General features: G+C 45.4%; 1 long non-coding RNA gene and 2 pseudogenes across 2 annotated transcripts, besides 1 other annotated feature; 1 reads left to right on the top strand and 2 right to left on the bottom strand.

The window, feature by feature from the left end:
- Window positions 13,522-14,025, top strand: LOC100421169 (thyroid hormone receptor interactor 11 pseudogene; annotated as a pseudogene).
- On the bottom strand, window positions 15,245-15,974 carry SCML2P2 (SCML2 pseudogene 2; annotated as a pseudogene).
- Window positions 16,591-18,659, bottom strand: LINC02175 (long intergenic non-protein coding RNA 2175). 2 transcript variants are annotated; one of them, NR_135196.1, is made up of 2 exons: window positions 17,886-18,659; window positions 16,591-17,767 (listed from the first exon to the last, which is right to left on the bottom strand). It is a non-coding gene; the product is annotated as a long intergenic non-protein coding RNA 2175 (long non-coding RNA). The 2 variants fall into 2 exon arrangements; NR_135197.1 differs by having other exon boundaries at window positions 17,900-18,659.
- Window positions 18,367-18,756: a silencer, noted in NCBI's record as "silent region_7294". NCBI's record gives its function as "represses an Ori minimal core promoter by ATAC-STARR-seq in GM12878 lymphoblastoid cells {active_cell/tissue: GM12878}" and the evidence as "EXISTENCE:reporter gene assay evidence [ECO:0000049][PMID:35858748]".

Below are 20,413 nucleotides of genomic sequence, written 5' to 3'. Positions count from 1 at the left end.
TGGGAAATATTCGTCAAGCTTTATTTTTTCTAGTTTGTCTTATGAAATTAAGTTTTTCAGCCTTTCCCAATATAAAGCTATATTTTATATTAAATATGCTTTTTATTTATTTTTTTGAGACGGAGTTTTGCGCTTTTTGCCCAGGCTGGAGTGCAATGGCGCAATCTCAGCTCACTGCAACCTCTGCCTCCCAGGTTCAATCGATTCTCCTGTCTCAGCCTCCCAAGTAGCTGGGATTACAGGCGTGTGCCACCAAGCCCGGCTAATTTTTGTACTTTTTAGTAGAGACAGGGTTTCACCATATTGTTCAGGCTGGTCTTGAACTCCTGACCTCGTGATCCACCCACCCTTGGCCTCCCAAAGTGCTGGGATTACAGGCATGAGACACTGCGCCCAGCCAAGTCTTAGTTATTTCTACATGTAAGTATTTCATGATCCGTTTGTGATTTGGACATCAAATGCTGAGCATAATGCTTCGCTGACCTCACCTGAGACCTGCATCCACTGAATTTTTACTGTATGTGCTTAGGGCCGAATGTAATTAAAGTCTTGTTTATTTACTTCTTTTTTTTTTTTTTTTTTTGTAAATAAGGTCTCCCGTTACGCAAGCTGGAGTGCAGTGGCAGGTTAATAGCTCATTGTAGCCTCAAATGTAGCCTTCCCAGTAGCTAGTGAAGGCCTTTTTAGAGGGGCTCTTGCTTTGAACAGTAGCAAATATATATTTGCCATTTTTGTAGTGAGTGTCTGCATTTGTGCAGTAAATGAGCTCATGAGTAAACTGAGGAGTACATGGACTCATCTCCTCCTCTTTCTTTTCTTTTTTTTTTGGTTCAACATATTTCTGTTGAACAAATGTACATACACACTGAACAGCTATATCCTGTAGTTCAGTATATTTCTGTTGAATGAATGAGTCTCTACCACTTGTTTATAAATATAAACATTTATGTAATTTTAATAGTGAATAACATACATGTTTTGTAACTTGCTCTTTTCATGTCAGCATATACAGATCTGCATCGTTATTTATAATTGCTTTATTGTACTCCTTTGTGGAAATTCCCCTCTATTTAATCTATTTAATCTTAATAGAGGGGAAATTCCCCTCCATTTAATCTGTTCCCTACTGATAATCACTTAGATTTTTGCCTTTTTATTTTTTGTTTTGTTTTGTTTTCTTTTGAAACAGGGTCTCACTCTGTTGCCCAGGCTGGAGTACAGAGACTCGATCACAGCTCACTGCAGCCTCAGACTCCTGGGCTTAAGTTGCCCAGGCTGGTCTTGAACTGAGCTCAAGCAGTCTGCCCACCTCAGCTTCCCAAAGTGCCGGGATTACAGGTGTGAGCCACTGTGCCCAGCCTATGTTTTTATATTAAACAGTGTTATAGCAAATACAAGTATATGTGCATGTTTGCAGGAATCGCTAGTGCAGAGTTTGCACATTATGAATAGCCACTGCCAGGCTTTTCAAGTCCTTTTTTTACCAATTTACAGTTTCACTGAATTGGGTGAGGAAATTTCCTGCCCTACACCCTCTGTCTCACTTTGTTTTGTGCTGCTGTAACAGAATATCTGAGACTGGGTAATTTCTAAAGAACAAAGATTTATTCTTACAGTTCTCAACGCTGGGAAGTCCAAGGTCAAGGGGCCCACATCTGGTGAGGGCCTTCTTGCTGCATCATCCCATGGTGGAAGGTGGACGGGCAAGAGGGCATGCTTGCCTGCAGGAGAGGAAGAGGGGGGAAGGGGCCTGTACTTATTCTTTTATCAGGAACCCCTCCTGCGATAACTAACGCTTTCATGAGGGCAGGGCCCCGTGACCCATCCCCTCTTAAAAATCCGCCCCCTCAACACTGCTGGATGGGGAATGAAGTTTCCAACACATGAACTTTGGGGAACACAGTCAAACCATAGCATTCTGCCCCAGCCCCCCAAATTCATGTCCTCTCACATGCAGAGTACATTCATTCCATCCCAACAGGTTTAATGTTTTCATTTGTTCCAGCACCAAGTCAAGAGTCCAGAGTCTCATTTGAATCAGATACAGGTGAGACTTTGGGCAAGATTTCTCCTAAGGCAGATTCCTCTCCGCCATGGGCCTGGGAAATTAATGTGCTTCCAAAATATGATGGTGGGTCAGGCATAGGACAGCAATTCCCATTCCAAAGGGATTCGTTTCCTGTTGTTGCTGTAACAAATCACCACAAAGTTAATGGCTTGAAGAATACAAATGGATTATCTCACATTTCCGGAGATCAGAAGTTCGAACCAGATCTGCCTGCACTACAATCAAGGTGGCAGCAGGGCTGATGAATGCCTTCCTGGACACGTGAGGGGAGCATCTGCCTCCTCACCTTTTCCAGCTTCTTGGGTCTGCCCATGTTCCTTGGCCTCTTCCTGCATTTGTCAAAGCCAGCAGCATTTATGCTGTGCCTTTCTTCCAAAGTTGTGTCTTCACGGACTTCCTGGGCAACTATGAAGGACCTCTGTGATTACACTGGGCCTGTGGGGATAATCCACGCTAATCTCCCTTTATGCTGATTAGCAACTTTCATTCCATCTCCAACCTTAATTCCCCTTTGCTATGTAATCTAACACATTCACAGGTTCTGGAGATTCAGAAATGGACATTACTGGGGAGGGGAGAGCATTTTTCTGCCTACTCTAGATCCAAATGTCAACCCAAGGCTGAACAGCCCTGATTTCAAAGGACATATGCACACATGACACATATCCACACGTACATGCATTATACACACATACCTGTACACATTTAGACAGATATGTGGAGCATCTTTACAGGTCAGAACACAAATATACACCTCTACCTCCTTTTTATGGCTGCAGAGTAAGCCATTCTGTGGATATACCATGTTCTACTTAACTGCACGAAAGCAAGGCAGCACCACCAAACCCTCCAGCCTCATATTCAATCTAACTGAACTGTGGACTGAAGACAGCTCAAGACCGTCAAACCTCCACATCACAAACGGTTCCTCCAAGGCTGTAGGGATCTACTTGAGCCTTCATAATAGCCAACAGTAGCAGCCATATTTGCTAGGTGCTTTCTATGCCCCAGACACTCACTGGGTTGACACCTACATCTATTCTAATTCTCAAACCAGGCAAATCGGATAGGATCCACTATTACTCCCATTTTACATATAAGGAAAGTGAAACTCCAAGAGGTAACTTGCCCAGGACCCCAGCACTAATAAGTGGGATTGTGGGATTCAAACCCAGAGGGCTTGACTAGCCACCCCTAGACTTAGTTTATTTAAACCAGGGAGCAGACTACACCTGAAGGCTCAATCCAGCTCACTGCCCATTTTTTATGGCCAGAAAGCTCAGAAGAGTGGTTATTTTTAAATGACTAGAAAAAACCCCAAAAGAATAATAATATTCGGTAACACGTGAAAATTATATGAAATTCAAATTTCAGTGTACATGAAAGTTTTATTGGAACACAGCCAGGCTCCTGTGTTTATGTGCTATCTATGGCGGCTTTCAGGCTACAACAGCAGAGTTGAGTTGTTGTGATAGATACCGCCGTGTGATCTGCAGAGCTCAAAACTGACTCTCTAGCCATTTATCCTTTCTCCAGTCACAGAGAATCTGGTCCTCAATCTTTCTGACTGCTTCACGCTGAGAAGGGGCATTGTGGGATAATGACGAAGAACGAAAACGTCATGCCTATAGCTGAAGTACTCACAAGTGCCTGGCTGGCATCCAGCTTGATGGAACATGGTAATATGGGTCCTTTTATCTTGGTTTTAGAGCAACATTTCAAGCCATGCTAAGATGATTAATAACATAGATAACATCCGGATGCGGTGGCTCACACCTGTAATCCTAGCACTTTGGGAGGCCGAGGTGGGTGGATCACAAGGTCAAGAGATCGAGACCATCCTGGCCAACATGGTGAAACTCCATCTCTACTAAAAATACAAAAATTAGCTGGGCATGGTGGCATGTGCCTGTAGTCCCAGCTACTCGGGAGGCTGAGGCAGGAGAATTGCTTGAATCCAGGAGGTGGAGGTTGTAGTAAGCCAAGATCACGCCACTGCACTCCAGCCTGGCAACAGAGCAAGACTATGTCTCAAAAAAAAAAAAAAATAATAATAATAATAATAATAGCCAGTGTGGTGGCACACGCCTGTAATCCCAGCTACTCGGGAGGCTGAGGAAGGAGAATCGCTTGAACCCGGGAGGTGGAGGTTGCAGTGAGCCGACATCACGCCACTGCACTCCAGCCTGTGTAATGGGAGCAAGGCTCCATCTCAAAAACTAAAAATAAAAAATAACATAGATAATAAAAATTTTAAAAATACCACAGAATATGGAGTGGATCCCTTGGGAAATCCAAGAGAAGACTCAGAGTTCTGTGTTCTCTGTATGGTTTCTTATTTCAGGTCTTTGGCTGGGCTTTGAATACTAACTTAAGGCCGTAGAAGGGTTCACACAACCATGAGTGTTTCCTCTAGAGGGATCCAAGAGGGACTAGTTTTACTCCAGTACGGTGAGTCCATGGGTAACACTGGCAAACTTGACGGATGGGTGGGTGGTCAGCAGCACCGCAAAGGAGCTGACCCATTGTGCTTGCAGCTGGTCTTGAGCCTGGTGGGACTGCCAGGTCTTCAGCATGACCTGGTTCCCCAGTTTCAAAGAATAAAGAGGCACAAGGAATTGGAACCTGTTAGAAGCAAACTCAGAGACTAGTTAACATACTTCCTAATGATTTTATATAAGAACTAGCTTCTCTTTCTGGAGAGGAAAAATCCTCAAGTATCAGGGAATCTGGAGAAATGGTCTCCTGTACAGTATTTCAAAGGGGCTAAGAGCCAACCCATTTCTGGGGTATTCATATCTTCAGCAGGGCAAGGGGCAAGACTTTTCCCCAAGTAAGATTTGTCTCCTGGCAACTGGGGTTCCCTTGGTCACAAATGGGTCTGTTCAGTCAATGACGGGCTTAGGACTTTATTTTTAGTTTGGCCCCTTTTGGTCAAGATATGCCAGAGGCAGCATCAATAGCCAAGCTTTTATTTTGTCCCATATCATTGCTGGGGTGGTATGGCTGCCTGCTCTGGGTCCATCCTATCTCTCAGTGGGACACTTCTATGGCCAAGGGACTCAGAATCAAAAGACTGATTTTCAATTAAACATTCTAGGCCAGATAGAAATGGCGGTGGGTAGGCACTCATTAATCCTGAAAACCTTTTAAGCAACACAAGGGTCAAAAAGCAAAATGTAAGATTAAAATTCCTGTCCTCTTAAAGCCAGGCCCCCATGGCTAGTGTACAAAGCATATCAGCTGCTTCATCTGAGGTGCTCCAGGTGGCATTGATAAGTGGAGTTGGGCAGTTCCACTTATCTGGGGTAAACAGATCTTACAGTGACTTTTATCCAGTCCACGCTCAGGAATAACCTCCTGTGTGTCTGAATTATATATCCTTCTACGACTGTTCAATTGTGAGCTGTGGGCCCTACATTAACCAGACATGCTCTTCCACTCTGCAGCATTTAAAACAAAAGACACTGCTTCCAAATTAGTTATTCTCACAATCCATTATTAGGAAAGGTGCCTCAAGGAAGCTGATGATACCAGTCTACAAAAGGGAACACTTCCTTCACATCACACCATTTGGCTTCAGTAGTTACTTCGTTTTGCCCTTCCCTACCTTGACTACCTTCTTGGAAACCACAGGTCTAAGAGGCACCAGAAACTACCTCTTTTGTGGGTGGCTTTGAGGCTAGTGATCTAAACTCAGACCCACATCTGAGCTTGGTCCAGCCTCAAGGCTTAATCCAGCACTCTTACTTTAATTTTAGCTATTATAGATAACAATAACTAAGGAATGAATATTTCACTTTTTCCTTATTAGTTTGGATTTCCTTATGCATCCAGTGATCCAACTCCCCAGGAATTTGATCCATCTTTAAATTCCACTGGTTCTTGCAATGGCTTTCTATTAAAAAGAAAAAAAGTAAAAAAAAATTAAAACAACAACAACAAAAAATTCCACTGGTAAACTTTACCTTTAATAACTGAATGCAGCATAGCTGCAGCTCCAGGTTGCCACCCAGGAATCATAGGTTAATGTAATAACAGGTATACTACAGTCTTCTTCTGAAACATAATTTTTCTCTGGCCAGTTCCCCATCTCTACCAAAGACAAATCATGGTAAGACCAATTTATTTGCAAATTAAGTTTTAGTCTTATTATACTTAGCCAGATTATTTGCATAAAGTACAGCAAGAATTATTGTCCATATAGGCTCTTTTAAGTTGGCTTTGCTGGAACTTCCCAAAAGGAATCTCAGATTCAACTTTTAAAGGCCTCTCAAGCTCAGCCAAGAATGTATCTGTGCCTGCAGATACCTGTACAAATTGGGTGAATTCCGCTCCTCTCAAGGTCTCAAAGTAACTTTAGATTCCTGGGCCTGTCAGAAAGTGACATTCGTTACTTAGCACAGGTCAGGAATCCTGCAAAGGAACTACATAGAGAGGTGTGAGGCCAGTCTTTCCAAGGGACATTTATCAGCTCTATAAAGTCAATCTCAATTCCTCAAAGCAGTCTGCTTATATCTAAAAATGTCATTCCAGTTAAACCCTTGGTCAAAAAACCAGTACCTCCAATTATGTGCTGTTATAAAAGAAAACATTCTTATTGAACTTATGCAAATAACTATATTGCCACAAGTTAAGAATATTCGCAAATAGTTTTTGAATTCTGGAGAAATCAAGCAGACAGCAAGAAATCTGCTTTAAATTTTATTTACAAGAGTATACTCAATTGTTAAGGGCTACAAATAGCTCAAGAGAAAAAAAATTTGACACTGAACAACAAAAAGAATCAGCAATGTTTCAAACCAAAAAAGCCACAAAAGAATCAGTTCAGTCCTCTATTAGCTCAGTCCATGCAATTAACTCTTGTTTTGCTTCATACTGGGTTAGCAATCTTTATGACCACATCAGCCTTTTAATTAGAGTCCTAGAAGTTTTCTGTCTAATCCAACAGCACAGTCTTTCTGACATCATCAGAAACCTGCATTCAGGAGTCTTCCAAGGAGCAAATTTTGGACTGTAGTTGACTGTAAGCCGCTTTTTGAGAAGAATCCAATAAAACAATAATTGTAGATGATAAAATTTTTAAGACATTCTAGTCAAAGACACATTAAATATACAATTGTCAAGGAAATCTGGTTATTTCTGTGGCATACAACAATTTAACATAATACACATATTACTAATGGCATATACTAAGACATATCAGGATTTTAGGAGTGCCATGTAATTTTGGCACACATCAATAACACATTTATATAAATATAACCCAAAGAAGGTTAAACACCATTTCATATTTGACAATGCTTCCTGTGTAATTTTAACATACCAAATAAGCCTAATATGTCTCTTTTGGACTTCAGGGGACCGCATATCTTTTTTTTTTTTTTTGAGACAGAGTCTCGCTCTGTCGCCCAGGCTGGAGGCTCACTGCAAACTCCACCTCCCGGGTTCACACCATTCTCCCGCCTCAGCCTCCCGAGTAGCTGGGACTACAGGCGCCCGTGACCACACCCAGCTAATTTTTTGTATTTTTTTAGTAGAGACGGGGTTTCACTGTGTTAGCCAGGATGGTCTCGATCTCCTGACCTTGTGATCCACCCGCCTTGGCCTCCCAAAGTGCTGGGATTACAGGAGCCACCGCGCCCGGCCAGAGGACCTAATATCTTTTAAAAATATATATTATTTTTTGTTTGTTGTTGTTATTGGAGACAGGGTCTCCAAAACTCTGTAGCCCAGGCTGGAGTGCTGTGGTGCAATCACAGCACAGCTCACTGCAGCCTTGATCTCCTGGGCTCAAGCAATCCTCCCATCTCAGTCTCCAGAGTGGCTGGCACTACAGGCACATGCCACCCTGCCCAGATTTTCATGTTTTTTGTTGTTGGGTTTTTTGTTTGGTTGGTTTTTTTTTTTTTTTTTTTTTTGTAGAGACGAGGTCTCACTATGTTGTCCAGACTGGTCTCAAACTCCTGAGCTCAAGTGATCTGCCCACCTCATCCTATCAAAGTGCTGGAATTACAGGTGTGAGCCACTGCATCCACCATTAATTTTTCTTTTTTTTGAGACAGTCTCGCTCTGTTGCTGGAGTGCAGTGGCACAATCTCAGCTCACTGCAACCACCACCTCCTGGGTTCAAGTGATTTCCGGCTAATTTTTGTATTCTTAGTAGAGACGGGGTTTCACCTTGTTGGCCAGGCTGGTCTCAAACTTCTGACCTCAAGTGATCCACCCACCTTGGCCTCCCAAAGTGCTAGAATTACAGGTGTGAGCCACCATGGCCAGCCTTTTTTTAAGTTAGCTTAAGGTCAAAGAGACTGAATTTACAACTTGATTTTTTTGTTTGTTTGTTTTAGACAGAGTTTTGCTCTGTCACCCAGGCTGGAGAGCAGTGGTGCAATCTCAGCTCACTGCAACCTCCGCCTCTCAGGTTCAAGTGATTCTCTAGTAGCTGGGATTACAGGCACACACCACCACACCTGGCTAATTTTTGTAGTTTTAGTAGAGGTGGAGTTTCACCATTTTAGCCAGGCTAATCTCAAATTCCTGAACTCAAATGATCTGCCTGCCTGGTCTCAGCCTCCCAAAGTGCTGGGATTATAGACATGAGCCACTGTAGCCGGCCAGAAGTTGAAATCTTGATGTTGGGAAGTTCATCAGTCGAATATCAAAAGTTTAAAACATTTGATGCCACAAAATAGGATCACGGTTCATTATAAAATAGTTATTCATTTAGCCAAAACGATAATTCAAAGATTTCCAAAAAAACAAAAAACCAAAACACCAAAGACCTTTACTCATTGATATGAAGGAGACTCAGTTTCCCCAACTGTAAGATCCAATGAAGACAGCAGGAAACCAACTAAATGTCTGTCTCTCTCCTTTTTTTTTCCTGTAGTTTACTTAAAAGGTAAACAAAAATCTTTGATCTCTTATTAATGTTTTAGGGGTATTATTAATGTTAAAGCTAATAAAACCTTATAAACAAATCTAATTTTAATCAGTTTGACCACGAAGTAAGATTTCCATACGCCTTGTATAACCTTTTACAATCTTCTATTAAAGAGTAGATCAGTGGTCCAGGAAAATTGTTATTCCGACACAGGGGCCAGACGCTTGCCTGGCCTCAGTGTGCCTTTGATATTAATGTTTACAAAAAAACTCTAATTTTATCCCTCAAAGTTGGCCCTTACAATCTCACACGCCCACCTCTTCCGCGATAGTCCCTGGGCCTAGGGGGATTGAATACTTGTAATTACTGGCCCTGCGTCTCATGAAAGCATTTCATTTCGATTGTCACCTTCTCCCAGGTCTGAAGATGAGGCTTTGACTGGCGTCAGTGTTCAAGATTTAGCAGGAATCTGTGCCTTTTTCAGACTCAGGAGTCAAAGCCCTGTAACTTAACGGCAGAAGGACTTTAGAAGCAATATAGAAAGTTACATGGATGTAAAAACCTTAATTCTGTTAGATTTATTTTTAAGCAATATAAAAACTAATGATGACATAAGAATTATCAATAAAACGTAAATCTGTTCGTTAGGCCAGTTACCAAAAGGCAAAGAAAGACTTTCTGCAGTGTAATTGCTTCTCCTTATGGGAAGCCCATTTAGATAACCTTGTTGCCCAGGCTGGAGTGCAGTGGCGCGATCTCGGCTCACTGCAACCTCTGCCTCCTGGGTTCAAGTGATTCTCCTGCCTCAGCCTCCCAAGTAGCCGGGCTTACAGGCTCTCAACACCACGCCCGACTAATTTTTGTATTTTTAGTAGAGATGGGGTTTCGCTATGTTGGCCAGACTGGTCTCAAACTCCTGACTTCAGGTGATCCCCCCGCCACGGCCACCCAAAATGCTGGGATTACAGGCATGAGCCACTGTGCCTGGCCCCAACTCCGTAATTTGAATCAACTTTTAGATAACTTCTGAGTTAGATATTATTCTTCTTCTCAGTAAAGATATAACTTCTGTGACACATTTTATATACGGAATTACATATTAACTAGAATTATTAGTAACCTTACATTTTAATGAAAAACCTAGGAAGCAAGAAATCCTGAACTGTTTACCAGATATTAGCATTTTAGATGACAACCTTCCATAGTTTTTTAAAAAATCTTTCCCCATATCATAACCCTTTCTTAATTTAAAATGACTCAGACATCTAATGAGCGCCAAAACCTCAAGATTTTTAAATTACAGAAAAAGTTCACATACATTTACCCCATTCCTATTTTATGCATTTTTAGCCATTTCTCTACATTAACTATGAGAACTGAGATATTAGACAAAGCCAGTCATTGCTTCCTTGATAATCATTTTTATAACCAATGAATATCAGGTGTTCACCTAATTAAGAACTTTAAAATTAAAACACATGGGTATATTTGCCAATAACTCAGAAAATTCAGCTGTTTTTATTAAACGACAACATTAGTCTTATTTATCAAAAACACACACACACACTAAGATTATTTTCTTCTTGGCTGGGTTTATAGTCTTATAACCTTTTCTGTCAAACTCTGACACCTTAACACATCTAGCAAATATAACACCCAGACAAAAAGGTAGGCTGACAAGTCCGAAGACATTTCTATTTTACCAATAATGTTAAAGTCAGCTTATTAAAGATTTACTTAAGTCACATGAACTTGGAAAATGACTGGACTTATTTACCTAATTTATGCACACTCTTTTTTATTTATAAGACAATTCGGTACCCTGTGAAAATGATACAGAACATCCAGAGACATATACACAAATACAAAGATCCAACAGCATTTACCCTGGAATTCTAGCCATTAGATAGCAATGCAAACTCACTGGTTTATGAACATGTTCACATGGCTAAACTTTGTTTGCCCCAATAGGTAATCCAGTGAAGGCTGTGAACCAAAATTTTGGGTAAATCACTTTCCATGGCAGTTTGATTTTTAAAGGCAAAACCTCCTCAGACTTTAAAGAATATTGGGGCCAAACAGTACCACTGAAGAACATCACAAGCAGCCAGGCCCAACCTTGCTTAGGACAGCAGCAGAAAAGCCTGGATACATGGAACTCCATCCTGCCTTCCCATCCAACAGAAAAATGAACGCAATTATAAGACAGCAAGCAGTACAATTCAAAGACCCTTGGAGAGTCCCGCCTCCCCTGACTTCAAAGAACACTGGAGCCAAACAGTGTTACAAAATAATATTATTTTCCTTTGTTCCATTGGCTCATAACTATATTCAGACTAATTCTAAAGAATGCACCCAGGTGGGCTACATTCTAAGATCAAATTCTGATTTCTTGTGACTATATCCACACACACACACATAAATAATTATGAAAATACAATCTAACCACAGTAGCGACTAACAAGCCCCCAAGACCATCCAAGCCAAAACAGTTGAGGTGCTTTCCTCTCACAGTCAGCTGGGCTTGTTCAACCTGCAAATGCAAATTCCTTCACAATTCCCCACCCAAATTGAGAGAAGCAGATCCTGCCATCTGGTACCCACAAAAGACACCGGTCAGATGCATATGTCACATTTCAAAGGCTGCTCTTCCTAGACAAATCAGGAACACAGTTAGAGTCAGCAGCAGTGGGGACAAAGAGAGACAGACAGAAATCCACCTTTGGCCAAAAAAAGGTCAGGCAGCTGCTTAGGAGGGCCTCTGAGACTCTCCCCATCTGTGGCCACCAGCCAGAGGCAACCCATTCCTGATTAGTGGACCAAAATCTGTTACCGAAATGCCAGGGGTTCAGTATAGGTTCAGTATAGGTTCTGCACAGAAAGCCAATCATTAAGAAAAGTAATGCCGGGGAAGAAAACTTTATTATATTATGGTTGACATCAGCCCAAGAGAACAGGAGATCAGTCTCAAATCCCTCTCTCCAGCTGACTAAAGCCGGAGGCATTATATAGCGGGGGGAAGGAATTTAATTATGAGCAGGAAGACAGCAATCAGGCAGGAGTAAGGCATCAATTGTGACGAATGAGGGGTCGGGAGTGTCAGTGTCTGCATGCAGCAATCAGGTGAGTTTCTATCCCTTGGTGGAGGAAGGAACTCCGATGAGACTCAACAGGGCTTGCTGGGGCCGGAGGGTGAGGGCGAATGGCAAACAGCATGGGGAACTTTTTGGATGATGGAAACGTTCAGTGTCCTCCTCAGGGTACTGCTTAGGCACAGATGCAGACATTTGTCATAACCCACTGATTTGTACTCAAGATGAATGTGTTTCACTGTATAATTTTTACCTGCATTTAAAAAAGCAATTGTGTGAAAACCACAAGCTGCAGGATACATAGGTACTGTATGTTACCACTTGGTAAAAAACTGAAGGGTATGAGCATTCTCCCTGACACACGCACTCATGCACACTCAGGAAAAGGCATTTGGGGGTGGCTGTTTTGGAGCCGGTGTCCTGGTGGCCAGCATCAGGCTGGCAGGAGCCACGCATGGCGCTGGGGAAAATCACTAATGCAGAGGGAGACGAGGCCAACCCAGAGATGAGGAAGGTGTAGGGAAGAACAGAGGCCTGCCCTGTTATTAGGGCTGTCACCGAAGACCAGCCCTAATGAGGCTCTAGGCCAGGCCTCTGCGTTTCCCGGCAGTGCCCTACCCTGGGTGGGCCTCTGAGCAGGCGCTGCCTAGAAGCATCTCATTGCGAGTTTCTCTCCTTTGTTTTAGAGACAGGACCTCCAGACTAAAGTCAGATCCAACTGCGCTGGATGTTTTACTTGGAGCCAACCAGATGACTTCTATGAACAATAGGGATGTCTTCCTGGTTTGGTGGCCTTGACTCTGGCTTAAGCTGTTCCTTGGAGCAAGTGGGCAGCAATGTGGCCACATCTCAAGTGTGCTCATAAATGGCACAGAAAAGGGGAAGAGTTCCCTAACGGTGAGATAAAGGAGACTGAAGCCAGTATGAAATTCTTAATATCAGAGAATGAGGGACTTCAAAATCTTTGTAGTGACCTCAGAGATACGTAGGAAGCATCAGAGCTTCAGATATGGCAGCAAACTACAAGTTATTGGCATCAATTACAACAGAAAGGCAGAAATGAGCGTTCCTGAAGCAAGAAAGCAAGCACTGCAGGATCGGTTGCAGGACCGGCAGCTATTGGCATCAATTACAACAGAAAGGCAGAAATGAGCGTTCCTAAAGCAAGAAAGCAAGCACTGCAGGATGCGTTTTAGGACTGGCAGCTATTGGCATCAATTACAACAGAAAGGCAGAAATGAGCGTTCCTAAAGCAAGAAAGCAAGCACTGCAGGATGCGTTTTAGGACTGGCAGCTATTGGCATCAATTACAACAGAAAGGCAGAAATGAGCATTCCTAAAGCAAGAAAGCAAGCACTGCAGGATGCATTGCAGGACTGGCAGCTATTGGCTTCAATTACAGCAGAAAGGCAGAAATGAGCGTTCCTAAAGCAAGAAAGCAAGCACTGCAGGATGTGTTTTAGGACTGGCAGCTATTGGCATCAATTACAACAGAAAGGCAGAAATGAGCATTCCTAAACCAAGAAAGCAAGCACTGCAGGATGTGTTTTAGGACTGGCAGCTATTGGCATCAATTACAACAGAAAGGCAGAAATGAGCGTTCCTAAAGCAACAAAGCAAGCATTGCAGGATCGGCTGCAGGACCGGCAGCGAGTCCTGAAGTCAACACATTCAGGGAGGCCAGAGGTTCCCATCCACACTGCATCCCCTCCATTCGGGTGGTACCCATCATGCTTCCGTGTTCCACGATGAGTACATGGGTTTTTGTGACATAATTTCATCACAGCAATAAATAGATAGTCCAATGAAGTTTTAAAACACAAGTTTCCAGTTGGCCACTGAAGGCATATTGCTCAGACTTCTAAAGTAGAAGGAACAATTAGCTTTGATGAAAATGAAATCTACAAACTACAAACACCAGATACCATCCAGGAGCTCAAGCAAAAGAGAAGTCAGGATACTGATGACCATCCCCTGCTCTGACAGCACTTGAGAACTATCGAGGAAAATAAGCCATTAGACTCCAGCACAATGGCGACCCCACAGGGAAGTGCAGGGTCCCCCCAGGTTGTCACCATCACCACGGCTCACGTTTATTGAGCCCTTATCAATAAGAGCCTGCCACTGTTCCAGGTGCTTTGCAAGAAATAGTTGCCTAAAAGTTTACAATAACTCTATATTATCATCCTCATGTTACAGAGATGTGGATAAGATGTGGCACAGAGAAGTGACTTGCCCAAGGTTTCCTGGCTCTGCTCTGAATCTCGGCAGTATTACTTCAGGTACCCTGTCCTTAACCTACCTGATACATGCTTTACAAATATTAACCCACCTAATCCTCAAGACAACTATGAGACTGATACTACTATTATACCCATTTTAAAGATTAGAAACCTAGGCACAGAGAAGCTCATTAAATTGTTGAGCATTACAGACATGACAGGAGGGGCCCTGAACACAAACCCAGGGTACCAGAAAGAGATCCTGAAACTGGTGATGGCTTCTGAGACCTACTAGATGAGTTGGAAACCCGGAGACTGGATATTACAAGGGCACTCAGGGCAGGGAGAAGAGAGGGAAGAGAGAGCAGGGAGGAGCAGACACAGCTGACATGGCTGGGGGAGAACCCCACCCCATTGAAGCTCAGGTACACGGGGCCTACTGAAGTCTGTGAGCAAACTTACTTGCCCACAGGGTGGGCAGGATTGCCGAGGGCCAGCCCAATTCCAGGCCATCAGGTGTGCAGACCCCGCTGAAGGACTGCAGAAAACATGGAAAGGAACTCTGCTGGACTCCGGGCCTCCAAATGAGTACCAGACAGCAAATGTAAAAAAAAAAAAAAGATCTTCAGAAAGGCTGTTACATGCATTTAAAGAAAAGAAAAACAGGCTTAGCAAACCATGGCCACCCCACGCTGAGAAAGTATGGTGAGACCCAATGGATGGAAACTACTGGAAGGCTGATTTAGACTTGATTGAACAGCGTCTTCCGGAGGATTAGCAGTGCCAGAGTAGATACCATTGAACTAGAGTGTGTGAATGGCAAGGAGGTTTCACCTCTGAATCGGGGGAAGACAGAATGTTTTCCCCATTGGAGAAGTCAGCGACCATATTTCCACTATGGAGGAATCCAAGAACGGTCCGGCTTGGATGGCACAATCCACATGGTTCTGCATGACCTGCCACAGCTCCACATCCATGGGGACCAACCAGGGCCTGGGCAGCTGCTGGGCTCTCTTCTGATGTGGACAGTGTCTTGCTCTGTCACCCAGGCTGGAGTGCAGCGGCACAATCATAGCTCACTGCAGCCTCAAACTCCTTCAAGGGATCCTCCCCACTCTGCCTCCCAAAGCATGAGGAATAGAGACATGAGTCATTACTCCCAGCCATTGTAAACTTCATCTCCTTTAACACTTCCAATAATTGCAGGACAGACCAGATAATGGTTCTTCCTATCTATTGCTTCAAGTTTCATTCTCATTTTAAGTGATTTAAGGTTGGCTTCTGTGATTCTTCCTTAAAGTAATGTTAAAGGTGTGACTTCAGTTTCATTTAGAGTTCATAAGATGACTCTAAATGACTAGCCAAGATGACACATTCATCTGGAACCCCAGGGAAGACGGAAGTAAAACCCTCCTTTTTCTCCTAAATATCCCAAAAGGTTGGGTGCCCTAGGTCCAAGGGATCTGCAAGCCTCCTAAAGAAATTTCCATTGTCCCTCCCGGCTGGTGTGAATTGTAATCTGGTATCTATATCCCAGGAACATTTAACAAACATTAAAGAAACACCATAAAGCTAACAAGCTGTTACCAACTGTGAAGTCATTAGCTAGAGGAATCTTGGATTGTCCAAAAGACTGAAAAAGCCCAGGCAGATCCCATCTCTTCCTCATAACTGTTCCACTGGAAATTGTCATTTTTCACAGGAGACTTTTCGTTTTTTTGGTGACAAGGTCTGGCTCTCTGTCACCGAAGCTGGAGTGCAATGGCACCATCTTGGCTCACTGCACCCTTGACTTCCCATACTCAGGTGATTGTCCCACCTCAGCCTCCTGAGTAGTTGGGACCACAAGAATGCACCACCACGCCTAGCTAACTTTTTCTTTTATTTATGTATTTTCAGATAGGGTCTTACGCTGTTGCCCATGCTGGAGTGCAGTGGTGTGATTATGGCTCACTGCAGCCTCCAACTCCTGGGCTGAATCTATCCTCCTACCTCATCCTCCCGAAGTGCTGGGATTACAGGCATCAGCCACCATACCTTGCCTTAATTTTTAAAAATTCTTTGTAGAGATGGAGGTCTCTCTACATTGCCCAGGCTGGTCTTGAATTCCTGGGCTCATGCAATCGTCCTGACTCAGCCTCCCAAAGTGCTGGGATTACGTGCACGAGCCATCATGCCCTGCCTTAATTTTTAAAAATTAACTGTAGAGACAGGGTCTCCCTCTCTTGCCCAGGTTGACCTTGAACTCCTGGGCTCAAACTATCCTCCTGCCTCAGCCTCCCAAAGTGCTGGGATTGCAGGCATAAGCCACTACACCCAGCCTAACATGAGGCATTCTTTTTATTTTTTTTTGAGACAGGGTCTCACTCTGTCATACAGGCAGGTGGGTGGTGACAGCGACCATGACCACGGGTCAACCTGGGCCTCAGACACTGGGGAAAGGTGGCCATGTCCAGTTTTCTCAGGAAATTAGGAGGCAGGTCATCCGAGGAGAGAGGGTGTGTCTGGGGTAGGGTGGAGTAGCTTTCAGAAAAGTGTAAGTCTGGCAAAAGCACTCAGGAAAATGGGACAGAAAATGAGCCAAGCGCTGGATGGCAGCGTTCATTCAGCCCAGCTGAGCTTGGAGGCCATGAAATGCTGGCAGCCCCACACTGCAAGACTGCAGGGTCTTTCTGGGCCACGCCCCGAATCCCAGGTATGGAAGTGAAGGACCCAAAAAGAGGAACGAATCAGGCTGTTATTCTGCAGAACAGGTGAAAGAAAAAAGCCAAGTAGACAGAGCCTTGGAAGTCAAAGAGTCACCCACATGCCTGACCCAGTCAGAAGAAAGGGGACCAAGCCAGGGCGGGAGGGACTGTGTGGGAAAGAGGAGGCTGAAAGGAGGAGAGACCGCGGGCAGAGGTGGACAAGGGACCAAGGTGAAGACCTTTGAGGTGCTTCTTGAACCACAGTGGTGAATGTCTTTCTGGACAAGAGTGCCAGTGCCCACCGCCATCACAGGACACAGCCCCATCCGCACTCCCGGGACAGCAACATCTCATTGTCCCAAACTCTGCCAATTTCATCAGTGAAAAGTGGAGCCTGGAAGCTTTGCATTTCTTCAATGACTTCGAATTTTTTAAAATGGTCTCACAGATTTCCTGGTCATCGGTATTTCATCTGAAAAGTCTCTTTCTGTGATATCTGCTCATTAGAGCGGAGTTCTTAAAATTATTAGAGAGTGTTATACATTCAGTATATTCACCTCTGTGGTGGTTGCTCTCAGTTTTGTCCAGTTAGTCATTCATCATAAATTTAACTTTGATATCATAATAAAACAGACAAAAGTGTAGTTATTATGTGCTTAAATCTACAGGTGCTTTTTTAAAAAGTTCTTTTTAGAGACAGGGTTTTGCCCTGTCGCCCAGGCTGGAGTGCAGTGGCGCGATCTTGGCTCACTTCAGCCTCCACCTCTTGGGTTCAAGCCATCCTCCTGCCTCAAACTCCAGAGCAGCTGGGACTACAGGTGAAAATATCACAATTATATGTTAGAGAGAGAGAGAATGAATCATTGTAAAACAATGAAAAGGTGAAGAATGTCTGTTACCTGTGTAAGTAACATCTACATCAACCCTCACCTGAAGTTCCTCACCTCTTCCCTTGCTCTTTTCTTCAGCCCAAACACGGTGTTCAACGTTCTTCCCAGTCACCGCCCAAGGCCGCTGTCTTAGCCCTGCCGTCATCACCTCTCTGAGCCTACTGCAGTAGCTTCCTATCTGGGTTCCCTTTCCATTCCTCCCGGGTCCCGACTCCATCGGCTGCCAGTTGACTTCCCACAGCACCAACTTTTCTCAGCCTTCTGCCTATGAGAGCTCCCCAAATTCTACCACGGGAGCCCTCAAACCATGATCCTCCCCAAAACGTGAACAGCAGCTTCTCGAACCATGGACAGATGGCACAGATGACAACCGAAGCCAATCACCACTGCCTGTCCCTGGAAGTGGACGCTCCGGGTCATGGGTGGCCATGTATCTCGGTCCTGCTATCCTGGGTGGTTGGAGGAATTCTAGCAGTGAGAGTTGAAAACCGCTCGGCGCGCGGCAAGAGAGGATGAAGCCCGAGTCTGACCTGGGAAGGGAGCTGCTCCCCGGGCAGTGGACCCCAGGGCTGGCGGGGAGGCGGCCTCGGTCAGCCCAGTTGGTCTCGGGCCGCTGGGCCTCAGCCCCCAAGCCTGGTGCCCGCTGGCCCCGGAGGAGCTGTCCCGCCCCCTCCGGCACTCGCCTTCCGGGGCTTGGTCGGCTAGCTGCTTCACGCGCGCGGGCTGGGGGCCCCAACGGCGGACGAGCGCTGCTCCCACCGCTCCAGCGCCCAGACTGTAGCGGCTCCGCCTCCGCGGTCCGTTGGCCCCGCCCCCACGTCTCTTCCGGGGCCCCGCCCACCCCCTTCGGGCCCGCCCAGCACGGCCTCCCCTTGTGGCCTGGAGCCCCAGGCCGAGGGCGCAGAGACCAGAAGGCCGAGCTGGGCGGCGACCCCCGTTCTTGCCCGGTCACTTCCTGCGGCGCCGCCTGCCCGCTGGCAAACTGTGGCTGGGAGACCCTTTAAATAGAACGTATTAGCCAAAACTAGAAGAGCAAAATATGTACCATGTTTCAATTTAATGGGATTGCCAGGTGTTTTAAGGGTCCGCCGCAACGGTCCCTCGAGTCCCGGGGTTTTTGTCCCCATCAGATCATTCGTGGTGTGGATCTTCCGGGAGGTTATGGGAAAGGGAGACCAGCAGCCGGCTCCGTGGGCGGCCATACTGCTCCCCCAGGAAGGCCAGGCAAATCTTCAGTGCTGGGATCCCCCTAGTACGTTCATTTTGTCTAGGGTCCAGGTGGGGCCATCGAGCCCCTTGCCCACAGGATTGGTCCTTTGGCATGCAGATAAGCAACACCGCCAAGAAAAGCCCATGGGGTCTTTAGGCTGTTAGGAGACCACCAGGGAGCCATTCCTAAATCTTCCCAGGTGATGGTTCCAAAAACCCTGGTGTTTGGGGAAAGGAAAAAGGGTTATCCACAGGACTATGCTGGAACACTTTCCCAAACAGTGTCTGCCTGGCTGTCCCAAGCAGCCGGTGATGGAGCGATGGTCATGAGGCTAGACCAAAGACCACAGAGTCTAGCCTCACTCTAGTGGAACTCAGGCACCCACCCGTTAGGATGTCGTGTTGCTGCTGCCCCCAGGTGGGAGCCTGGGAAACCACCTGGCCGACACGGGCCACACCTGATGGGACCTCACAAGGAGATACAGTCCATTAACGTTCGTCAGGGTGGGAAGAAGTGGCAACACCTACTGAGATAACAAAACTCATTAGCTGAAGGGCAAGCTGGCCAGCAACTGGCAGTGATGTTCTCAATAGTCCTGGCCGCCTTATAAAACCAGCTACTTAGGCCGGGCACGGTGGCTCACTCCTGTAATCCCAGCACTTTGGGAGGCTGAAGTGGGTGGATCACAAGGTCTAGGAGTTCAAGACCAACCTGGCCAGTATGGTGAAACCCCGTCTCTACTAAAAATACAAAAATTAGCCTGGTGTGGTGGTGGGCGCCTGTAGTCCTAGCTACTTGGGAGGCTGGGGCAGGAGAATCGCTTGAACCCGGGAGGAGGAGGTTGCAGTGAGCTGAGATCGCGCCACTGCACTCCAGCCCGGGAGACAGAGCAAGACTCCGTCTCTAAATAAATAAATAAACAAACAAACAAAACCAGCTACTTAGTAAAGGAGCAGCTAGTTAAAGCTAACCAGGGGTCCTCAATCAAGGATGGGCCACACTGTTTGTGATGCCAATCGTTTTATTCACACTCTTTACTCCATTGATGAAAGAGGGATTCCTTCCCCCCACGCTCCTGCCCCCGCCCCTGTCCCCACCCCCAGAGATACGGGGATGGCCGAACACACAACACTTGATGCAGGACGGATGCAATCAACAGCAGCTGACTGGTCACAGATACTCCAGTCCAGGGGAGAAGGACCCTGCACACTATGCAGGGCAATGTGGAGGCTACACTCCGGAACACGGTAACAAGGAGGGGCTGCTGGAGGCAGGCTTTGTAGTAACAAAAGTGCAGAGTGAGCCCTGGTTCCCACGGGAGGGTGTGACTGGCTTGTCTGAATAATTCGTCCTTGAGC

Source organism: Homo sapiens, chromosome 16 (genome assembly GCF_000001405.40).
Source record: "Homo sapiens chromosome 16, GRCh38.p14 Primary Assembly".
Classification (NCBI taxonomy): Eukaryota; Metazoa; Chordata; class Mammalia; order Primates; family Hominidae; genus Homo; species Homo sapiens.
This window is presented reverse-complemented; position numbering and strand designations above follow the sequence as displayed.